The sequence below is a fragment of the Homo sapiens genome, chromosome 17 (assembly GCF_000001405.40).
Source record: "Homo sapiens chromosome 17, GRCh38.p14 Primary Assembly".
In the NCBI taxonomy this organism is placed as follows: Eukaryota; Metazoa; Chordata; class Mammalia; order Primates; family Hominidae; genus Homo; species Homo sapiens.
In genome coordinates, this window is record NC_000017.11 from 31,450,519 (window position 1) to 31,471,352 (window position 20,834).

Sequence of the window (20,834 nt, forward strand, 5' to 3'; positions counted from 1 at the left end):
ATTTTTGGTAGAGATGGGGTTTCACCATGTTGCCCAGGCTGGTCTCGATCTCCTGGCCTCAAGTGATCTGTCCACCTCAGCCTTGCCCGCCCTCCTCCTGGGTCCCTTTAAATGGCGCTGGGTCTCAGGCCTCGTCCTCACCCCTATGCTTCCTGCCTGCCCACTCCCCAGGGGAGCTGGTTGGTCCCAGAACTCTAAAAGCACCATTACCCTGAGGGCTCCCAAGATAGTATTTTCCCCTCCGACATTGCCTTCGGCTCCAGTCTCTTCTGTCAAACCTGTGGCGCACCCTCTGCATTTCCACCATGTTCCAGGCTACACCCTTTGATCTGATCCAGCTCCGTCCCCTCAGCCCCAAGAATGTTTCCCCAGGCTCCCCATCTCAGTAAATGGCACCACCTCCCCTACCTGGTCACTCTGACCAAGGATCAAGTCATCCTTAATTTCTTTCCTCCTTCCACATCCAACCCATCATCACAGCCTAATGGTTTTACCTCCAAACTATGTCCCGAGCCATCCACTTCCCTCCACCTTGGAGGTTACACCCCAGTCCCAGCAGAGCCGCACCCTGTACCTGTGCCCCGATGGCCTGCATTCTCTCTTGTTTTTTGTGGTCCATATGACACCGGAGTGTTCTTTAAAACTTGTAACTCCTAGTGGCTGGGCATGGTGGCTCACACCTATAATCCCAGCACTTTTGGAGGCTGAGGCAGGTGGATCACCTGAGGTCAGGAGTTCGAGACCAGCTTGGCCAACATGGTGAAACCCCGTCTCTACTAAGAATACAAAAATTAGCTGGCCATGGTGGCAGGCGCCTGTAATCCCAGCTACTCAGGAGGCTGAGGCAGAAGAATCACTTAAACCCGGGAGGCGGAGGTTGCAGTGAGCCGAGATGGCGCCACTACACTCCAGCCTGGGCAACAGAGCGAGACTCCATCTCAAAAAAAAAAAAAAAAAAAAAAATTGTAAGTCCCATCCTCCTCTCCCTTGCATAAGAGCCTCCAGTGACAAAATCCAAAACCCTGACTTCCCACTGTGGCCTCGAAGGTTTCACTTTTGCCTGAATCTTTGACCTTGCCCCTCCCAGATTCCCGGTGACTCTCACTGTTCAGCCACCCTGACCTGTTTTCTGTTCCTCAAACTGCCCAAGCGAGTTCTGCACAGGGCCTTTGCCTGGCTTCCCCTTCACCTAGAACCCTTGTCCCCCAAATCTTTGCACAGCTGCCCTTGTGCCCTTCAGGTTTCAGCACAAATGTCACCTCCTCAGAGAAGCCTTCCCCCACCACCCTCTCAAGAAACTCCCTCCCCACCCTGCCCCCATCACTGCCAGAGCACCCTGCTTATTTCCTTGAGTATGCACCACTGTTAGCTGCATGTTTTTTTAATGGCTGTGTAATAGTGATACATGTTTTTGGGATACATGTGATATTTCGATAACTGCATATGTTGTGTAATGATCAAATCAGGGTAACTGGGATATCCATTACCTCAAACCTTTGTCTTTGTGTTGGGAACATTACAATTCTTCTAGCTTTTTGAAAGATACAAGAAATTATTAACTATAATTTCCCTGCTGTACTAGCAAATACTAGAACTTATTTCTTCTCTCCAACTGTATCTTGTTTGGCACAGTCTTGATCATCTATGTGTGTCCTGTCATCCCCCACTGGCCTGTAAGCTCCGTGGGTCCAGGGCTTTGCCAGTGTCATTCACTGCTGCACAGTGCCTGGCATAGAGAGGCTGTTGGTGCAGATTTGTTGCACAAGCAGATGGATGAATCTCAGATGTGGAATGTTGACTCTTTGTCAGGGAGGGATGGGCTCCCACCTAGGAGTCTCCGAGGACCAGCTCAAAGGCTGTAAAAATCATGCCCTGCCTCAGTGCTCTGGGGGATTAGAAAGGGGGTGCCTGGATTCTCTGAGACTCTGCAGCTGGGCTCTCTCGCTTTCCTGTGCGTGTCAATCACTGATCTTAAGAAAATGCAGATTCTGGTTCACAGGCCTGGGTCTGCGTTCCTAGCCTGCTCATCAGCAATGGTGGTGCTGCTGACCTCAGATCTCTCTAGCAGCGCTTTTGTAACTTGCAGGTCCTGTGCCATCTTTCCCCCTACATGCCATGGGACCACGCGGAAAGAGCCAGAGGGGTCCCTTCATTGCCTCCTCTGCCCCTCCTCCCTCCATCCAGCAGCAAGTGTTATTTGTAGCAGTCACTGTCACCTCCGCATGTGGTGAGGCCTGCTAGGTTTCTGTCTCCACATTTCTGTTACTGTGACAGACAAGACGGATTCTCTGCCAGGAACTGTGCTCAGCCACTTGCTTCTGGCATTGCTGTTTCCTCTCTGTGCACCTCTTATTCAGGCAGACTCCTGGGGGATGTTGCCCCTGCTGGAAGTCAGGCCCAGTTCATTGCCCTAGTGTGGGATGGGGCAGCTGACCCCGCGGGGAACTGGGAGGCATTACCGAGAGGTTTCCAAGCTTTGGTTTCAGGAGTACAGGTATAGGCCTACCTGACTGGCCCTGGGGGCAAAATGTTCATTTAAACTTGGGGAGAGGCTGGGCACGGTGGCTCACGCCTGTAATTCCAACACTTTGGGAGGCCAAGGTGGATGGATTGCTTGAGCCCAGGAGTTGGAGACCAGCCTAAGCAACATAGAGAGACCCCATATCTACAAAAAAATTAAAAAGTAGCCAGGCATGGTGGCGTGTGCCTGTAGTCCCAGCTACTCAGGAGGCTGAGGTGGGAGGATCACTTGAGCCTAGGAGGTTGAGGCTGCAGTGAGCTATTATATTATCACACGACTGCACTCCAGCCTGTACCATAGAGAGAGACCCTACCTCAAAAAAAAAAAAAAAAAAAAAAAAACAAACCTGGGGAGAGTTTGGGACCTTTGGAGTCCAAGAGTTCTGAGTTTGAATCCTGATGCTGTCACATACTACTTGGGCCACGCCGAACAAGGAACTTAGCCTCCCTGAGCCTCACTTTCTTCACTTGCTAGATGGAGGTTGTAACTCGTGTCTTCCTCCCAGGGTCGTTGTCAAAATGAAACATGAAAGTGCATGGAAGTAGGAGGTCAAGGCAGGTGAATTACATGAGGTCAGGAGTTCGAGACCAGCCTGGCCAACATGGTGAAATGCTGTCTCTGCTAAAAATACAAAAATTAGCTGGGCGTGGTGGTGCATGCCTGTAGTCCCAACTACTAGGGAGGCTGAGGCAGGAGAATCACTTGAGCTGAGATCGCACCACTGCACTCCAGCCTGGGCACAAGACTCGTCTCAAAAAAAAAAAAAAAAAAAAAGAAAGAAAAGAAAAGAAAGTGCATGGAAGGCTCTCCGCACTGTGGAAAATACTGGCATTTCTCAACTCACAATGCATAGATTGTGAGACATATCATGGTCCATTGAATATCTTTTGACTCAGGGGTGGTGACCAGGTGCTGATAGCAAGGCCTGGGGCCCAGTCCTCCTCCCACAACCGCATCCCCCCCAGCCCCACCCACAGCCACCTGCTGCTCTAGCACTAGCTAGAAAAGTCAGCCCCTGGGCATTCTCAAGAATTGAGCCCACCCCTTTGTCAGACCATTCTCCCAGGGCAGAGACTGGCCTGATCACATGAAAACCACACCTGCCGAGCCAGAGGGCAAATGCTCCAACATTGTATTAGAGAGATTAAACAGCTGTTCTCAACCAGATCATTGCTACATTCCATTTCCTGACCAGGAAAATGAAAATGGCTGTCATAGAAGACAGAGCATAAAGTCTGATTCTTTTCTTTTTGAGATGGAGTCTCGTTCTGTCACCCAGGCTGGAGTGCAGTGGTGCGATCTCAGCTCACTGCAACCTCCGCCTCCTGGGTTCAAGCGATTCTCCTGCCTCAGCCTCCCGAGTAGCTGGGACTACAGGTATGTGCCACCACGCCCAACTAATTTTTGTATTTTTAATAGAGATGGAGTTTCACCATGTTGGCCAGGTTGTTCTCGAACCCATGACCTCAAGCAATCTGCCCACCTTAGCCTCCCAAAGCACTGGGATTACAGGCATGAGCCACTGTGCCTTGCCTAAGTCTGATTCTTAAGATGGAAACTCAGTCAGGCGGCCATGGCTCATGCCTGTAATCCCAGCACTTTGGGAGGCCGAGGCAGGTGGATCGCTTGAGGTCAGGACTTCAAGACCATCCTGGCCAACATGGTGAAACCCCGTCTCTACTAAAAATACAAAAATTAATCAGGCCCGGTGGTTCCTGCCTGTAGTCCCAGCTACTCGGGTGGCTGAGGCAGGAAAATCGCTTGAACCCAGGAGGCAGAGGTTTCAGTGAGCCAAGATTGTACCACTGCACTCCAGCCTGGGCAACAGAACAAGACTCCTTCTCAAAAAAAAAGATGGAAACTGTCTGTGGGCTCTAGGGAGGCAGTGGAGGTGCCAGGTGAACTGACGATTAGCACCACAGTGGGAACAGGCAGGAAGAGGACTGGTCTCCAGTCTCTGGTCTCCTGTCTGAACAAGTCTGTAGGGGAGGAAAAACTTCTCCTCTACCCTTTTATGTTATGTCTGCAGTCTGCAAATAAAATTGAGCAAAGACAGATTAATAGAAAAAAGGCATACGAATTTTATTGTTGTTTTTAATTTTACATGCATGAAAAGCCAAAGAGATGGTCAGACCCAGGGTTTATATACAATTTTGACAAAGGAAGATAAGTTGTGGGCAAGTAACTAAACAAGGAAGAGGGGGATTTGGGCTCCTAAGGGCAGTATATTCTGGGAAGGTAGCTAGGAAATGTGTGTTAGATTGGGGGTGGTGGTTTAGATGTGTTATACAGATACATAACCTCCCCATTGGATTTATTCTCCTTTTCATGGGACGGGAGAGGGGGGCACATTTACAAATGGAAATTTATGCCCTACTTTCAGGCACCTAAGGGGAGGGCAGAGAGCTCATCCTGTGTCTGCTGTTTCTCAGTTGCCTTCAGCTCAAAATAATCCTTATGCCAAAGTGGCGTATTGCAGGGTGGCATATTTGGATCCCCTTCAAGTTCCTGCCTCAGTCCCTTCCCCAGTCCTCTGCCTTGTACACATGGGTACCTCACTGTACCTACTCAAACTAGGTCTCCTTTGACCACAGGGAGTGGGTCTGCTCTGATAATGTGTTGATAATTGGTTGACTTTACAACCAATATTTCAAAACAACTGCCTTATCGAGCCCAGCCTGGGGTTTCTGTCTTGTGCTGTGACTTGCAACATTCTTGGTCAGACCCCTTCTCCTCAAGGGAAACTTTAATCTAGGCTGAAGGGGCCTCTGAGATGGGTACCAGGCAGGAGGCATGTCAGGACCCTTACCTGCTGCAGTGAATGTCAGCTTTGCCACCTTCAGGGCTGACGCTCCCAAGGCAGCTGCACTCACCCTCCGCTGAGAGTGCCATCCTGGGCTTACAGGCAGAGGCTCAGCTCTGACATGTGATATCGGAGAAAGTCAGTCATCTTCAGCATCTTCAGGTCATGTTAACCCTATTCCTTTAGATTTTCCATTATCTATCCTAATACCAAGTTCCGTGTCAGAAAGCGCTGTTTGCTCTTACCTCCTTGCAAATACGTCTTTACTGTTGTACATTTTGTTTTTATTCTCACGGCTCATTGAATATTGCTTCAATTTCATTAGAATTGCTACAGGAAACCTTACAGCTGATTTGTCATCCTGTGTACTCTTTGATCCAATATATTCTTTTTTTGAGACAGGGTCTCACTGTCACCCAGGCTGGAGTGCAGTGGCACAATCTTGGCCCAGCCTTCTAGGCTCAAGCAATCCTCCCACCTCAGCCTCCCAGGTAGCTGGGACTACACACATGCGGCACCACTCTCAGTTAACGTTTGTATTTTTTGTAGAGACGGGCTTTCACCATGTTGCCCAGGCTTGTCTCGAACTCCTGAGCTCAAGCGATCCGCCCCCCTCAGCCTCCCAAAGTGCTGGAATTACAGGCGTGGGCCACCCTGCTGGCCCCTAGTACATTCTTTTTAGGATTTTGTACCAGAAAAGAAGTCCTTCCTGATGAAATGATACCTTTTTACATCAGATAACAAGAGTTACAGCATAACTATCCCCTTGCTGTCCTTTTTGGTTTTGGTAAGTCAGAAAACTTAGAGCTAATGAGACTGGTGAATCAATAAAATCTGCCTTTCCATTTAATCATTTACCTCCTTTTTCTCTATGGTTTATTTTTATTTTTACTACTCTAGCTATGAATGTGTCTTTTATTGTAAATAATTTCATAGCTGTCAGGAAGAGATAAAAAGGAATCTTGATTTACTAAGGAGAGACTTATTAAAGGATTATTATTGCCTGGGGGTGGTGGGGAGGGGACTATTCCAATGGAAGCGGGAGCATTGCAGTGGGAGAGAGCACTGACCAGAAGATCCTCCTGCACCTCCAAAGTTAAGCCGAAAGGGTTGTTCTTTTCTAGGCAAGAGTAAACAAGGCTTGAAAGAACTGGTGCGGGGAGGTAGGTTGAAAAGGTGGCCTGGTCCTGGGGGCCTGTCTTAATGCAGGCCAACCTGTCCTCCGGAGGGCTGTAAGGAGGGATAGTGAGTTGCTCAGGTGAGGGTGGCCAAAGTTCACAGAACTGGGGGAAAGAGAGAAACTAGAGTTTAGTTAACAAGCATCGTGTTTTAGGTAGAGAATGGGAATTTGGAGGGCCTTCCTCACAGGTTCTCGACTGTGTTCTCCTGGGGGACGAGGACCAGCTTCATGGCTTGCTGTGCCCTGCGCTGGGCCTGACCAAGTTACTTGGTCCCTGTTTGTTCACTGACGTTGACTGAGGGCCTTTCCAGAGTCAGGAGCTGACCTCTCACAGAGATTCCAAGAACTAGCAGGTCACACTCTCACCTCTCCCCAGGGGTCCCCAGTTCCGGCCATGCCCTGTGTCCTCTCCTTCTCCTCAAAGGGGTCCCCAGGCCTAACCTGGGGAAGCACTATCCATTCCCTCTCTCACCCCACCCCAGTCCCCCCTGGAACTGGCTTCCTGCCTGCTTCTTCCCCTTTCTCCGGGGTGGGGCGGGACAAGGTGGAGGGAGAGTGGGAAGGAGAGGAGGAGTCACCCAGCTGCCTCCTAGGACTGATAAGAGACCCAGCGGGAGCTTTGAAGGCTGTTACAGCCTGGGGGTGGGAGCAGGCCTGACCCCCACCACCCTCACCCCCAGCCCCGCAGGTGGCCACACCCCTCCTGCTGCCCTACCCTCTGTCTCTCAACTTGGCCCTTTCTGTGCCTCTGTGCTCTCTCTCTTTGTGTGTGTCTCTGTCTGCATGTGTGCCTCCCTCTCCGTCCCTGACTATCCTCCCTTCCTCTCTCTCCTTTTCCCCTCCCCGCTCTGTCTCTTCTCTCTATCTGCACCCCATCTCTCTCTGTCCTGAAGTCTGCATTCTCAACACAGGGAACCTTCCAGTCTGACCCAGGTCTCAGCAGGAGCCAGACAAAAGGCCTTGAGGGAAGGGACAGATGGAGTGTCCCCATGCTAATCTCCTTTAACCACCCCCAGCAGACCAACCCTGCCAAGTAGGTACTGTGGTACCCATTTCGCTGATGAGGAAGTTGAGGCTCAGACAGCAGTTAAGACGTGTGTCCAAGGCCTTGGGGCCACAGTGTGCAGGGCCAGGATTTTTAGCTGCATCTGATCCAGTTGCCTCAGAATGCGGGCTGAGTCCACCTTTCCTGAGGCTCCTCAGGTGTCCCAGGCCTCTCCTCACTCCCTCCACCCCATCCCTGGAGGCAGGACCAGAGGACTCCTTTGAGGAGCTGCATAGCTTGGGAGCTGCGCATCAGGAGCATCTGCAGTGCTGCAGGACCATCTTCTACCCAGAGGCATGAAGCAAAGTATCATGGGAGCCCCGCAGGGCATTGCGGGGAGGCAAGATTCTCCCAGCCCCTTCCTGCTGCTTTTGGAGGCCTGAAGATGGCTCTGACCTGGATATAGGGGGTCCTAAAATGGAAGCCCTTTGGTTGAAGAGGCAGGTGGCACTGAGCCTGCCAGCTGGGGCTGTGCCAGGGGTGTTTGGAGGTGCCTCTCAGAATGGGCCTTCTCTGCACGGGAGCCTGGGAGATGCATCAAGGAAAGATGTACCAGCTTCCTGGCTGTGGGGCTTCTGGGGGTCTTCAAAATGCTCATGTGCACCTCTGGGCCTCCCAGCACAGAGGTGGAGGCAGTTTGCCAATGTTCTTTCCTCTTGGAACCCTTCATGCACCAGCATCTTTGTCACATTAGTGAAGAATGGACTGGCCTTGTGGGTCACCCAGGGTGTGAAACACGTTTGGGGCGAAGCTGCCACTTCCTCCCCAGGAGAAAACAGAATGTGGCCCTTGATAGCAGTGTGGGGTTTAGCTGGCAGCTGTTAGCCCAGGAGCTGAAGACCTGTGGCTACATGCACAGTCATGTGTGTGAATCTGGTCCCTCTATTAGCCAGGGTCACTGCTACCTAACTCCAAGGGGCACTATTATCACTGTAGTCTATGGAAATTGTGCAGTACCCAACCTGTGCAGCTGAACATGGTAGTCCTGATCTCAACTCTCACTCATCATGTCTGACAGTTGCAATGGCCTCTCTGCTGACTTTCTGCCTCTAGTCTGTTCCCTCTAGTATTGCCTACACCCCCTGCCCCGTGTCAATTCCCCAGTCCTACCCACCTCCAAGTCCCTTCTCCCCTCAGCCACCTGTCAGAGAGATCTACGAGTACTCTCAGCTGTTCAGGGATCCTGGGAGTAGACTCCTTCCTCTGAGATGGATGAGCCATGTGGTCTTGGGCAAAGCACTTAACCTCTCTGAGTAACCCCACACTGGTATCACTTATTCTCATTTATAAAATGGGGGTAAAATGCCCATCAGGTTGTAGTTTTCTTGATCACTAGATTCTTAACTCCAGGAGGCCAGATACTCTCATTCCTCTCTGTACCCACATCTGACACATCCTCAGTTCCGGTGAGCGTTTTATTATTATTATTATTATTATTTAACATGAATGGTACCATAAAGCATTTGTTGAATAAATGAGCGCATGTCACTTTGACCAAAACCTTTCTGCAGCTTCCACTCCCACGCCTGATGGGTTAACTCAGGACTTCCCAGGCACTGCTGCCCTTTCTACTCCTGGGCTTTTGCCCATGCTGTTCCCTCTCCTAGAATTCCCTGTTTCTTGCAGCACTGTCATCTTTGACACAGCTCGGCTGCCACCCAGAAGCTTTTCCAGCCCCTCCCCCCACCCAAAGCAGCCTCTTTATCCCCCACCAGTCCCTCCCCACGGCCCCAGATACCTCTGCCTGACAGTGGGTTGTGCCCCAGAGGGGCTCCTCTGTTGTTCTGGACACAGGGGTGGCTGGGACTTTACCCTCCTGGGGTCCCAGGGCTTGTGTGGAGCCTGGGACTGGCTCAGGACAGAAGTACACAGAGTGCTCTGGAAATTGGTGGTGGCCACAGTGCTCCTGCCTGCCTTGCGGTCACTCCCGGCCCTCTCAGGTGCCTCTTGAGGAAAAAGCCCTGCTGCCTTCCCAGACACAAGCCCACCATGGGCTGGGACAGACCAGACTGCTAAAAAGCCTGGCTGGAATGGGATGGGGTGGGCACTTCATGGTCAGGCTTTGGGGTCCATTGAAAAATGTGTCTTTGGGTCTGGTGGAGGAGCAAGCACGTTGGAGACTCATGCCTGATGCTTTGGCTTACTAGGCTGTTGTTTAAAAAATAAAGTGCTTTTCAAATGCTTAACTCAGAACCTGACCCAAAGTAAGCAGTGGATCAGTGTCTGCCGTCCCTGGGAGCAGGTGGTGTAGACTCACCTTAGAGCATGGACGTCAAGAGTCAGAAGGACCTGGGTCCGAATCACAGCTTGGCCCTTCCCCGTGAGACTTTGGACAGGTTGTGTCATCTCTGAACGTTGTTTTCTTTGCCTGTTAAATGGGCATGACCCTAATGTACTCCTCAGTCTTGTTGAGAGGATACAGGAGATAAATTAGAAGCCGCTGGCATCAGTTAGGATGTGTGTTAGAGCCTGACAGCAAGACAGAGTGCTAGAAATGTTGGTGGCTATAAATATTACTACTTGCTTCTATTTTCTGGCAAAGAACCATTAATTTCTTGGACCTCTTCATTTTCTCTCTCCCTCCAAGACTAGTGGTAGCAGGTGGCTTTCTCTCTGGGACCATTTTTTCACAGACACAAAGTTGAGTGGGTGTATATATAGAGACATATATATATTTCTTCAAGACAGGGTCTCACTCTGTCACCCAGGCTGGAGTGCAGTGGTGTGATCCTAGCTCATTGCATCCTCCAAATCCTAGGCTCAAGTGATCCTCCCACCTTGGCTTCCTGAGTAGCTAGGACTGCAGGTGTGCACCACCACGCCCGGCCATGTGTGTATTTTTAATCGCTTCACAGGAGTTACCACACACAGCTAGTTTACAGCATTGTGCTGTAAATGCTGGCTGGGTCATGTGTCGAGCCCCCTACCACCCACAGCCTCCCCTGTCCACCAACTCTCACCATCCACAGACCTCCAGAGCCCCCACATACACCACCATGATGCCCCCCAAATCCACAGACCCCTACTCATAGCCCTTGCTGCCAACAACCCCCCTGACTCCCACCCTTAGCTTCCTCACCACCCTTATAGCCCCACCTGTCTGATAAAATACCTTGAGGCCATTTGCAGCAGAGGTGCAGGTGTGCAGATGAGGCAGAAAAGCCCCTCCACACGCACAAGCCTGGGCCTGGCCTTGGACTCAGACATCATCTACGTCCACATCTCCATCCACCCTACAAAGCCCTCACCAGTTCCTGAGGTGCACAGCTAAGAACCATCACCACGATACCAGGCACTTACTGAGCACTTAGCTTGGCACTGAGCACTGATGTAAGCCCTGGATGCTCAAATAAAAATGCATGGGTTACCTTGATGCAGGACTTCTCAGAGCTTTAATATCCCAGCGCCCCTCTGGATGCCAAAGAGGGAGATGAGAGTATGCAGCATTTGCAGACTTGGCCAGGGCAACCTTTCTTCAGCTCTGGAGCATACTTAGGAACATTCTGTGTCCTTGACATTCCTAGTGTGGTCCATGGACTCATGCGTGTCTCATCTGCAAATCACCTGGGATCTCAAACTCCCAATGTCAGGGGATCCACCTGCCTCGGCCTCCCAAAGTGCTGGGATGACAAGCATGATCCACTGCACCCAGCCTTTTTTTTTTTTTTGAGACAAGGTCTTGCTCTGTCACCCAGGCTGGAGTGCAGTGGCACGATCTCGACTCACTAGAGATACAGAATCTCACTACAGATACAGAATCGAAACCCATTTCTACTGAATGGGAATCTGCATTTTAACACCCTCGGAGATTCATTCATGTGCTCATTAAAGTTTGAGACACACTTTTGTTGGTCACAGGGCTGGACCTTGGCCAGATATTGGAATCACCTGGGGAGCTTTAAAAACTAATGTGGCTGGGTGCGGTGGCTCATGCCTGTAATCCCAACACTTTGGGAGGCCAAGATGGGTGGATCACCTGAGGTCAGGAGTTCGAGACCAGCCTGACCAATATGATGAAACCCCCATCTCTACTAAAAATACAAAAATTAGCTGGATGTGGTGGCAGGTGCCTGCTGTAGTCCCAGCTACTCAGGAGGCTAAGGCAGGAGAATTGCTTGAACCTGGGAGGCAGAGGTTGCAGTGAGCCGAGATCGTGCCACCACACTCCAGTGTGGGCAACAGAGCAAGACTCCATCTCAAAAAAAACAAAAAACAAAAAAAAAAACAGGGCCTAGGTTCTACCTCCAAATTCTGATGTAATTGGTCTGAAGTTTGGCTTGGTCATTGGGAGTTTGAAAAGCTCCCCAGCTGATTCTGATGTGTGGCCAGCAGCATAGATGAGTGAACATTAGAAAGGGTCTGGAGTATCCGCTTGGAAATTTGCAGGGAAGCATTTAAAGTCTTGGAACAGCCCCAGCGAGGCACAGGGAGAACAAGGGACTTTCCCGAGGTCTCATAGCTGGCTGGTTGCAAAGCCTCCACCAGCACTCAGTTTCCTAGCACCAGCCTCGGTCCGGACTCTTAGCGTCATTATCTCCACACCATCTTCTATTTTTTCTTCTCTTTTATTATTTTATTTTATTTTTTGAGATGGAGTCTCACTTTGTCACCCAGGCTGGAGTGCAGTGGTGTGATTTTGGCTCACTGCAACCTCCGCCTCCTGGGTTCAAGTGATTCTCCTGCCTCAGCTTCCAAAGTAGCTGGGATTATATGTGCGTGCCACCACGTCTGGCTAATTTTTGTATTTTAGTGGAGACGGAGTTTCGCCATGTTGGTCAGACTGGTCTCGAACTCCTGACCTCAAATGATCCGCCCGCCTCGGCCTCCCAAAGTGCTGGCATTACAGGCGTGAGCCACCGCGCCCAGCCTCATACCATCTTCTTGAAAATTCTCCCTCCTGATCCTGAGCCTCAGCTTCAGTCCTCAAACAAAAGCCTTGATTGGGTTCTGATCATGAGGCCGCCTCTGCACTTACTTTGCTGGCTGCTGGCTCAGGGCTCCAGCAAACAGTCCCAAAGCCAGTAAAGCTTAAGCCATCAACATGAGGAGGCGTTAACACATTGTAACCACCAGAGCATAGTCCCATTATGTAAGGAGTCCTGCTGCAAGGCCGCTCAGCTTAATGGAGAACACGAGACTCCAGGCAGGCCTGGGTTTGAGCCCCAGCCCTGGCACTTGGCAGCTGTGCTGCCATCATGACCCCTTTAGCCTCTCTGAGCCTCATCTTCCCTACCTGTAAACTGGGCACAATGGTAATCCCCTGCTACAGGTGGTGTGCAGATCATATAAGATAAAGAAGACGATGAGTCCCGCAGTGCCCTGGCGTGTGGTGGGCACTAGATCAGAGTTAGTTGGGGTCGTTGAGGGCTCTCAATTTTGGCACCAACACAGGAGGCCTGGGGTTCTCAGCTGGCCCCAGCATCTCAAGTTTCCACACAGCAAGAGCACCCAGAACCTCCCTCCACCAGGCCAGAGGCAGCCAGCATGTGCCTTTCTCTTCTCCTCAGCTCACTGCAACCTCCGTCTCCCAGGCTCAAGCGAATCTCCTGCCTCAGCCTCCCGAGTAGCTGGGATTACAGGCACCTGCCACCACACCTGGCTAATTTTTTGTATTTTTAGTAGAGACGGGGTTTCACCATGTTGGCCAGGCTGGTCTCGACCTCCTGACCTCAGGTGATCGCTCGCCTAGGCCTCCCAAAGTGTTGGGATTACAGGTGTGAGCCACTGCGCCTGGACTTTTTTTTTTTTTTTTTTTTTTTTTTTTGAGACAGAGTCTTTCTCTGTTGTCCAGGCTGGAGTGCAGTGACCCGATCTCAGCTCATTGCAACCTCAGCCTCCTGGTTCAAGCTATTCTCATGCCTCTGCCTAATGAGTAGCTGGGACTACAGGTGCATGCCACCACACTCAGCTAATTTTTTGTATTTTTAGTAGAGGCAGGGTTTTGCCATGTTGGCCAGGCTGGTCTTGAACTCCCAACCTCAGGTCATCCGCCCACCCCATTCTCCCAAAGTGCTAGGATTATAGGCGTGAGCCGCCGGGCCCAGCCTCTTCTCCCCATTTGTTTCTCCTGTGCCAGACCCGCAGGTTCAAGGATCATACTTGCCTGTGTTTGAACATGGCTATGAGGAGACCTGTGCTGTCAGTGTGGGGGACCCCCCCAGCTTTCTCAGGCTGATCAAGCAGAAGTTGGCCATGCCGGCCAACAGTTGGTGGCATTCTTCCCATCTCGTGGGCCCACTCATGACAGAGCAGCTGTTACTGTCATGGTTATTTTATTTTTATTCCTCCCTCTGGGAGCCCAGAATCAAAGGGAAACATCAGCACTGCTGCCTCATTACAGAGAGCAGAGAAAATGGGGATGGGGATGGGACATTATCTCTTTTTTTCTTTTTTCTTTCTTTGAGACGGAATTTCGCTCTTGTTGCCCAGGCGGGACTGCAGTGTCATGGTCTCTGCTCACTGCAACCTCCACCTCCCAGGTTCAAGCGATTCTCCTGCCTCAGCCTCCCAAGTAGCTGGGATTACAGGCGCCCACCACCACACCCAGCTAATTTTGTATTTTTAGTAGAAACGAGGTTTCACCATGTTGGTCAGGCTGGTCTCAAACTCCCGATGTCAGGGGATCCACCTGCCTCGGCCTCCCAAAGTGCTGGGATTACAGGCATGAGCCACTGTGCCCGGCTTTTTTTTTTTTTTTTTTTTTTTTTTTTTGAGACAAGGTCTTTCTCTGTCACCCAGGCTGGAGTGCAGTGGCACGATCTTGGCTTACTATAACCTCCGCCTCCCAGGCTCAGGCAATAGTCCCACCTCAGCCTTCCTAGTAGCAGGAACTACAGGCACGTACCATCATGCCTGGCTGATTTTTGTATTTTTAGTAGAGACAGTTTCGCCATGTTGCCCAGGCTGGTCTCGAACTCCTGGGCTCAAGTGATCTGCCTGCCTTGGCCTCCCAAAGTGCTGGGATTACAGGTGTGAGCTACAGTGCCTGGCCTGGATATTCTCATCCAGGGCCTACGGGCAGTCAGTGGAGACTATCTGGGGTGACATATTCATCTTACAGATGGGGAAACAGGTTGCACAGAGCCTGGAACTTCCCAAGGCTATGTTGAGGCCAGACTAGAACCTGGTTCTCCAGGCTCCAGGTCTGAGGTCTTTCCCCTGTAGTCAGGAAGGAATCTAGGTTAGGACTCCAAAGTCCTCCTCAACCAGTGTGTCCATGTTAAATGCAGATTCCTAGGCCCCATTGACTAGCCCAGGATGTGGGTGGACCTGGGAATCTGCATCCTTAGCACGCTCCCCTAACCAAAGTTCTAGAATGACTGCTGTGACCTCTTTCCATTGGCCCCAGAGCTCCAGGCCTATGCTCCGGGACTCTGTGCTTCAATCCCACATTACAACTCACCATTCAAGAACTGCAGCCCCTCAATACGGATGGCACCCTGTTAAAAAAAAAAAAAAAAAGAACCCCAGCCCCTGCTGGGCGCAGTGGTGCTCCTGTAGTCCCAGCTAATGGGGAGGCAGGAGGATCGCTAGAGCCCAGGAGCTCTGGGCTGTGATGCTCTATGTTGATCGGGTATCTACACTGAGTTTGGCATCAATATGGTGACCTCCTGGGAGCAGGGGACCACAGTGTTGCCTGAGGAGGGGTGAACAAGCCCAGGTCAAAAACAGAGCAGGTCAAAACTCCCGTGTTGATCAGTGGTGGGATCGCGCCTACCAGTGGCCACTGCACTCTAGCCTGGGTAACATCATAGCAAGACCCTGTCTTTAAAAAATAAAAAAAAGAGCCAGGTGCGGTGGCTCATGCCTGTAATCCCAGCACTTTGGGAGGCCGAGGCGGGCGGATCACAAGATCAGGAGATCGAGACCATCCTGGCTAACATGGTGAAACCCCATCTCTGCTAAAAATTAAAAAAAAAAAAAAAATCAGCCGGGTGTGGTAGCACGCGCCTGTAAGTCCCAGCTACTCGGGAGGGCGAGACAGGAGAATCGCTTGAACCCGGGAGGCGGAGGTTGCAGTGAGCCGAGATCACGCCACTGCACTCCAGCTTGGGTGACAGAGTGAGACTCGGTCTCAGAAAATAAAAAAAGAATCCCAGCCCCTGACTAATCTACTTCATTTACAGCATTGCTTATCTGGTGCACTTGAGGACAGTGGGTCCCAGGGGAAGGAGGCAGAGACAGTGTCATGTTGTGGTTAAGGACATACACCCTGGACCCAGGCAGCCCGGGATTGATTCCTGAATCCGCCACTTCTAGTCCTGTGACCTTAATGTGTTTCTTCCCCTGTCGGTGCCTTTGTTTCCTTTCCTGTAGGTGGTGATGCCTTCCTCCTAAGGTGTTATGAGGATTAAATGAATTAGTAAAAAGTACTTAGGTTAGTGTCTATCGCATAGTTATGTGCTAAGTGTTAGCAGCTGTTACACCATTTTACAGGCTGAGAATGTTATGCAGAGAGATGCTGAGACTTTGCCGAGGTTATGCAGACTCTGAGTAGCAAAGTTGGTTGGGGCTTCTACACTCGTCCCACATAGTTCCTGCCTGGGCGTCTACCGCCTTCCAGTGCCAACCGTGGCTCCGCTGGTAGATTATAGCTTGGCAGAAAAAGACCCTCTGCACTCCCCCATTCACTCATGTACCTTCCTACACACTCTGGGGTTGGGGTAATTTCCCCAGTCCCAGTAGCCAGGAAGGCAGAGTCTATGGAAACCAGGTGGCCATACAGAGCAAAGTTGAGCTTCCCTTAGCCCTCAGAGTCCCTAATGGGGACCCAGGGATGCTACCACCTTGAGTCTCAAAAGCTCAAGCTTTATTATGTCAATTCTTATTTATACTCAAAGCTTATTTCCATTTTTCTGGACAAATTTACACTTCAAATCTCTGCATTTTGGTTTAAAGGAATGTTCTCAAACATTGGCTCTCCTGGCTCTTGGTGTCAACAAGACCACTTCCTTCCCTGTCTGGAGAAGAAAATGGAGTTAAGGCCCAGTGTCCTTAAACCATACCTCCTGCATCTAGCTCCTGAGTATTTCTTTCTTTTCTTTTCTTTTCTTTTCTTTTTTTGAGATGGAGTCTTGCTCTGTCGCCCAGGCTGGAGTGCAGTGGCATGATGTCGGTTCACTGCAACCTCCACTTCCCAGGTTCAAGCATTCTCCTGCCTCAGCCTCCTGAGTAGCTGGGACTACAGGCGCATGCCACCACACCCAGCTAATTTTTGTATTTTTAGTAGAGACTAAAATGGGGGTTTCACCAAGTTGGCCAGGCTGGTCTCGAATGCCTGACCTCAGGTGATCTGCCCGCCTCTGCCTCCCAAAGTGCTGAGAATACAGGCGTGAGCCACGGTGCCTAGCCACTTCCTAGTATTTCCAGAAAAAAACAGAAAGCAGTCTCTTCTTGGTACTCCCCTTCTTCATCCTGCCCTCAGTCTTTCTCTCTGACTTAATTCTCTTCTCTGAGTGGTTCTGATGCTAAGTTTGGCCCAGGGACATGACAGAAGTCTACATCCCCACTGATCTCAGCCTCAGAATGGGCTTTGTGAGCACATTCTGAAACTCTCCACCTGGGGAGAGAGTAGTCCCAGCTACTCTCTCTGCTCTGAGGACTGAGGGACTGAGTGAGGCCATTCAAGCCTGTGGAGGGCCCAGGCACACACTGCCCCACTCCTGCCACCCACCGCTCTCCATCTCAGTGCCCAAGGGAGGGCAGCTCCATTACCGCTCTTTTCCTCTTCTCCCATCCCTGCTGTGATAGAATCTGCCCCGAGCTTGGGGCCCATTCTAATTAAGGTAACTGAATGCCCAGGCAGCTGAAACCGGCCTTTTGCAAAATAGCAAGTGGAAGGCCTGCCCTTGAGGCCCAGCCTGCCAGCTCCTGTTTGCCCTTGCCTGGTGTTCGAGATGACTGGGCCCTGCAGCCCCAGTGAAGGAGGGGCCTGGGAAGGGGAAGGGGACAGAGAGCAGGTTTATTCGGGGTGAGCTGCGCTGGTCCATTGTAGTTTGCACTCAGTGCTTCCAGGAGCTGGAAAGGCAAACAATAGATTTGGGTCACGAGGGGTTGGGGGAGGAGATGGTCAGATTTAGCAGGATTCTGATGCCAAGTAGCTGGTGCTTAGGGCTCTGGGCTGTGAACTTGGGACTCTTCTGATCAGAGCCTCTGTCTCCCTTCCTCGCTTCGTCTCCCTTCCTCGCTTCCTCTGCTCAGACCCCCACACACATGCAAAGCTGGCCTCAGGCAGACACATGCCACCACTGTTCTGGGCTCCTTTCCTTAGATTTGAGAGGCCTGGGGCAGAGTGGAGAGGGCTTTGGTCCTGCATCCAAATCCTGGCTCTGAATGTCCTTGCGCAGGTTATTTAATCTTTCTGTGCCTCAGCCTTCTCATATGCGAAATGGGAAGAGCAATGCATTCTCTGGTGGATCTGGGTTGTGTGGGGCCTGAAGCTCTTACCACATGTAGAGCCCTTTTTAAGGTAAAGAATTTCTGGCTGGGCACTGTGTCTCATGCCTGTAATCCCAGCACTTTGGGAGGCCGAGGCAGGCGGACCACAAGGTCAAGAGATTGAGACCATCCTGGCCAACATGGTGAAACCCCATCTCTACTAAAAGTACAAAAAATTAGCTGGGTGTGGTGGTGGGCACCTGTAATCCCAGCTACTCAGGAGGCTGAGGCAGGAGAATCGCTTGAACCCAGGAGGCGGAGGTTGCAGTGAGCCAAGATCGCACCACTGCACTCCAGCCTCGTGACAGAGCAAGACTCTGTCTCAAAAAAAAAAAGGAATCTCAACATCTTGTGCAAAGTTTACAAACACTTAACCATGTGAACACACTGGCAGGGCCCCTCTGGAGCACGTGAGGGTCCTAGAAGCTTAAGCTCTGTTAGCTTCACAGTAAATCCAGATGTATACATGCCTACCTGATAGGACTGTGAGGGATTAAATGAGCTCATATTTGAGCTCCTAGAACAGTGTCTGGCACAGAATAAGCCCCTCGTAAGTATTGGCTTTCATTCTTATTGCCCTCAGGGTTCCTGTGAGCATTAGACATTTGCAGATTGCCCAAGTAACATCAAACGTGGTGTGGGCAGATGCTGTGCACCTGACACATGCATTCATTAGCTCATCTAATATGTAGCGTTCACGATGGGCCAGGGGCTGTTCTGAGCACTGGGGAACCAATGGCCCCTCTTAAAGCTTTCGGTCTGGGAGGGGTAATTGGGCAGTTACTCACACACATAGGCAGGTCCAAATGGAATGAGGACAGGTGCTATGAGAAAACAAGGCAAGGCCAGGCACGGTGGCCCATGCCTACAATCCCAGCACTTTGGGAGGAGGATCACTTGAGCCCAGGAGTTTGAGACTAGCCTGTGCAACATAATGAGATCTTGTCTCCACAAAAATAAATTTTAAAAAAAATGAGCTAGGCATGGTGGTGTGTGCCTGTAGTCCCAGCTACTCAGGAGGCTGAGGCAGGAGGATCACTTGAGCTGAGGAGGTTGAAGCTGCAGTGAACCATGATCATGCCATGCCATTGTACTCCAGCCTGGGTGACAAAGTGAGACCCTCTCTCAAAAAAAAAAAAAAAAAAAGCGAGACTATATCTAGGAGAAAGAAAAGATTTTGATTTGGGGCATAAGGAAAGGCCTCTTTGAGACATTACGAAAGAGTAGGGAAGAATTCTTATTCTCATTTCTGGTTTGCTTGCAGTTTCTGCATGTCTATCCGTAAGGCAATCTGGCATGGTGACATTAATTAAAGCAACTAAACCGTTTGGCGGTCCAACTAAAATCTAAGCAAATATTGTCTCCTCTGAGCCTCTCAACAACTCTGAGATGAGTAAGCGGAGACCCAGGCAAGAGTGGCTTTACCTGAGCTGACATAAATACTAAATGAAGGAGCTGGAATTGAAATCTCCACCTGACTGCCTCACAGGTCCTTCCTTCACACCATGTGCCTGACACAGAGCAGGGGTGCCCCTGCAGACTCATGTGACCTCATGACCTTCTCAGAGGCCACACAGTCTAATCTCCTCCCCTCTCACTGTGGGAACAGAGGAAGCCGAGGGCCTGAGAGTCGCTGCTTCTGAGACCCATCCCACATCCTCTGCCTGCCACTATCAAAGTGGTTGTGACCTCCCTGGGGTAGCAGAGTCCAAGAACAGTCAGTCTCCCAGACACAGGAAGCCCTCCTGTGGTCCTCAGGCACCTGCACCATGGGTATGCAGATCTGGCCCTCATTGATGCAAACACCAGCCCTCTCCTGGCTTTCTGCTCTACCCCCTGGCACATTTCTTCCTGGAAGGGTGATTGATGCTCTGCTACTTGTGGCCTTGGAGGTGCTCACAGTGAGAGACATGAGATGCCTTAAAACCATGAAGGTCAGAGTTCAAAAGGCAAGTAGGCAAGCAGGGAGAGCCCAAGTATTGGGCCCACAGAACTACAGTAGGGAAGCAGGCTTATATCTGAGCATCCCCACAGGCCTGGCAGAAGCAGGAATGGATGATACATGGCTCTCATGATCCAATGGAGGGAAGCAGGTGCTTAACACATGGGCTGGGTGTGGCACCATGGGGATGAGTGCTGCCTAAGCACCTACCATGTGCCACCCACTCTGCTAGGTGCATGAAGCCAGTTACTGAGTGGGCCTCTTAACTGTCCTGTGTGGTAGGTACGTTTATCCCTATTTCACAGATGTGAGCACTGAGGCTCAGAGAGGCAAGTGAACATTGTCTCCTCTGTAATGACCGTCCCCTATAAACTCCTGGCAGGAGGGCCTTGCCAGCTGAGTCATGGCACTCATCATAAAGGCTTCAAGGAGGAGGGGAGTCATTATAGAGGAGACAATGGGCCACATAGTAGATGCAGTTTTCTGTAGAAGTTTTATTTTAAAAATCAATGTTATTGTTTTTAAATACAGAAACTTTTGATATTTCCATTAGCCCTGGTTAAAAGCTGAAGGAAATGTTTTAAAATCATATGTCATAAAAGTATGTCTGGGAAATGGAAGGTTTTTTTTTTTTTTGAGATAGGGTTTCACTGCCACCCAGGCTGGAGTGCAGGGGTGCGATCATGGCTCACTGCAGCCTTGGCCTCCTGACCTCAAACGATCCTTCCACCCCAACCTCCTGTGTACCTGGGACCACAGGCACACACCACCATGCCCAGCTAATTTTTTTTTTTTTTTTGTAGAGATAAGATCTTACTGTGTTGTCAAGGCTGGTCTCAAACTCATGGCCTCAGGTGATCCTCCTGCCTCAGCCTTCTAAAGTGCTGGGATTACAGACGTGAGCCA

General features: G+C 50.7%; 1 protein-coding gene and 1 pseudogene across 1 annotated transcript in view, besides 8 other annotated features; both read left to right on the top strand.

Moving 5' to 3' along the window:
* RAB11FIP4 (RAB11 family interacting protein 4) overlaps positions 1 to 20,834 on the top strand; it is a 146,537-nt gene that overhangs the window by 58,844 nt on the left and 66,859 nt on the right. The window lies entirely within an intron of this gene.
* Positions 3,687 to 4,188: an enhancer, noted in NCBI's record as "H3K4me1 hESC enhancer chr17:29781223-29781724 (GRCh37/hg19 assembly coordinates)". NCBI's record gives its function as "activates a minimal SCP1, AML or CMV promoter by ChIP-STARR-seq in naive H9 embryonic stem cells {active_cell/tissue: H9 hESC(naive)}" and the evidence as "EXISTENCE:reporter gene assay evidence [ECO:0000049][PMID:30033119]".
* Positions 4,189 to 4,688: an enhancer, noted in NCBI's record as "H3K4me1 hESC enhancer chr17:29781725-29782224 (GRCh37/hg19 assembly coordinates)". NCBI's record gives its function as "activates a minimal SCP1, AML or CMV promoter by ChIP-STARR-seq in naive H9 embryonic stem cells {active_cell/tissue: H9 hESC(naive)}" and the evidence as "EXISTENCE:reporter gene assay evidence [ECO:0000049][PMID:30033119]".
* Positions 6,680 to 7,528: an enhancer, noted in NCBI's record as "H3K4me1 hESC enhancer chr17:29784216-29785064 (GRCh37/hg19 assembly coordinates)". NCBI's record gives its function as "activates a minimal SCP1, AML or CMV promoter by ChIP-STARR-seq in primed H9 embryonic stem cells {active_cell/tissue: H9 hESC(primed)}" and the evidence as "EXISTENCE:reporter gene assay evidence [ECO:0000049][PMID:30033119]".
* Positions 7,529 to 8,376: an enhancer, noted in NCBI's record as "H3K4me1 hESC enhancer chr17:29785065-29785912 (GRCh37/hg19 assembly coordinates)". NCBI's record gives its function as "activates a minimal SCP1, AML or CMV promoter by ChIP-STARR-seq in primed H9 embryonic stem cells {active_cell/tissue: H9 hESC(primed)}" and the evidence as "EXISTENCE:reporter gene assay evidence [ECO:0000049][PMID:30033119]".
* Positions 8,931 to 9,432: an enhancer, noted in NCBI's record as "H3K4me1 hESC enhancer chr17:29786467-29786968 (GRCh37/hg19 assembly coordinates)". NCBI's record gives its function as "activates a minimal SCP1, AML or CMV promoter by ChIP-STARR-seq in primed H9 embryonic stem cells {active_cell/tissue: H9 hESC(primed)}" and the evidence as "EXISTENCE:reporter gene assay evidence [ECO:0000049][PMID:30033119]".
* Positions 9,433 to 9,932: an enhancer, noted in NCBI's record as "H3K4me1 hESC enhancer chr17:29786969-29787468 (GRCh37/hg19 assembly coordinates)". NCBI's record gives its function as "activates a minimal SCP1, AML or CMV promoter by ChIP-STARR-seq in primed H9 embryonic stem cells {active_cell/tissue: H9 hESC(primed)}" and the evidence as "EXISTENCE:reporter gene assay evidence [ECO:0000049][PMID:30033119]".
* Positions 15,025 to 15,314, top strand: RN7SL79P (RNA, 7SL, cytoplasmic 79, pseudogene; annotated as a pseudogene).
* Positions 16,828 to 17,522: an enhancer, noted in NCBI's record as "H3K27ac-H3K4me1 hESC enhancer chr17:29794364-29795058 (GRCh37/hg19 assembly coordinates)". NCBI's record gives its function as "activates a minimal SCP1, AML or CMV promoter by ChIP-STARR-seq in naive H9 embryonic stem cells {active_cell/tissue: H9 hESC(naive)}" and the evidence as "EXISTENCE:reporter gene assay evidence [ECO:0000049][PMID:30033119]".
* Positions 19,175 to 19,676: an enhancer, noted in NCBI's record as "NANOG-H3K4me1 hESC enhancer chr17:29796711-29797212 (GRCh37/hg19 assembly coordinates)". NCBI's record gives its function as "activates a minimal SCP1, AML or CMV promoter by ChIP-STARR-seq in primed H9 embryonic stem cells {active_cell/tissue: H9 hESC(primed)}" and the evidence as "EXISTENCE:reporter gene assay evidence [ECO:0000049][PMID:30033119]".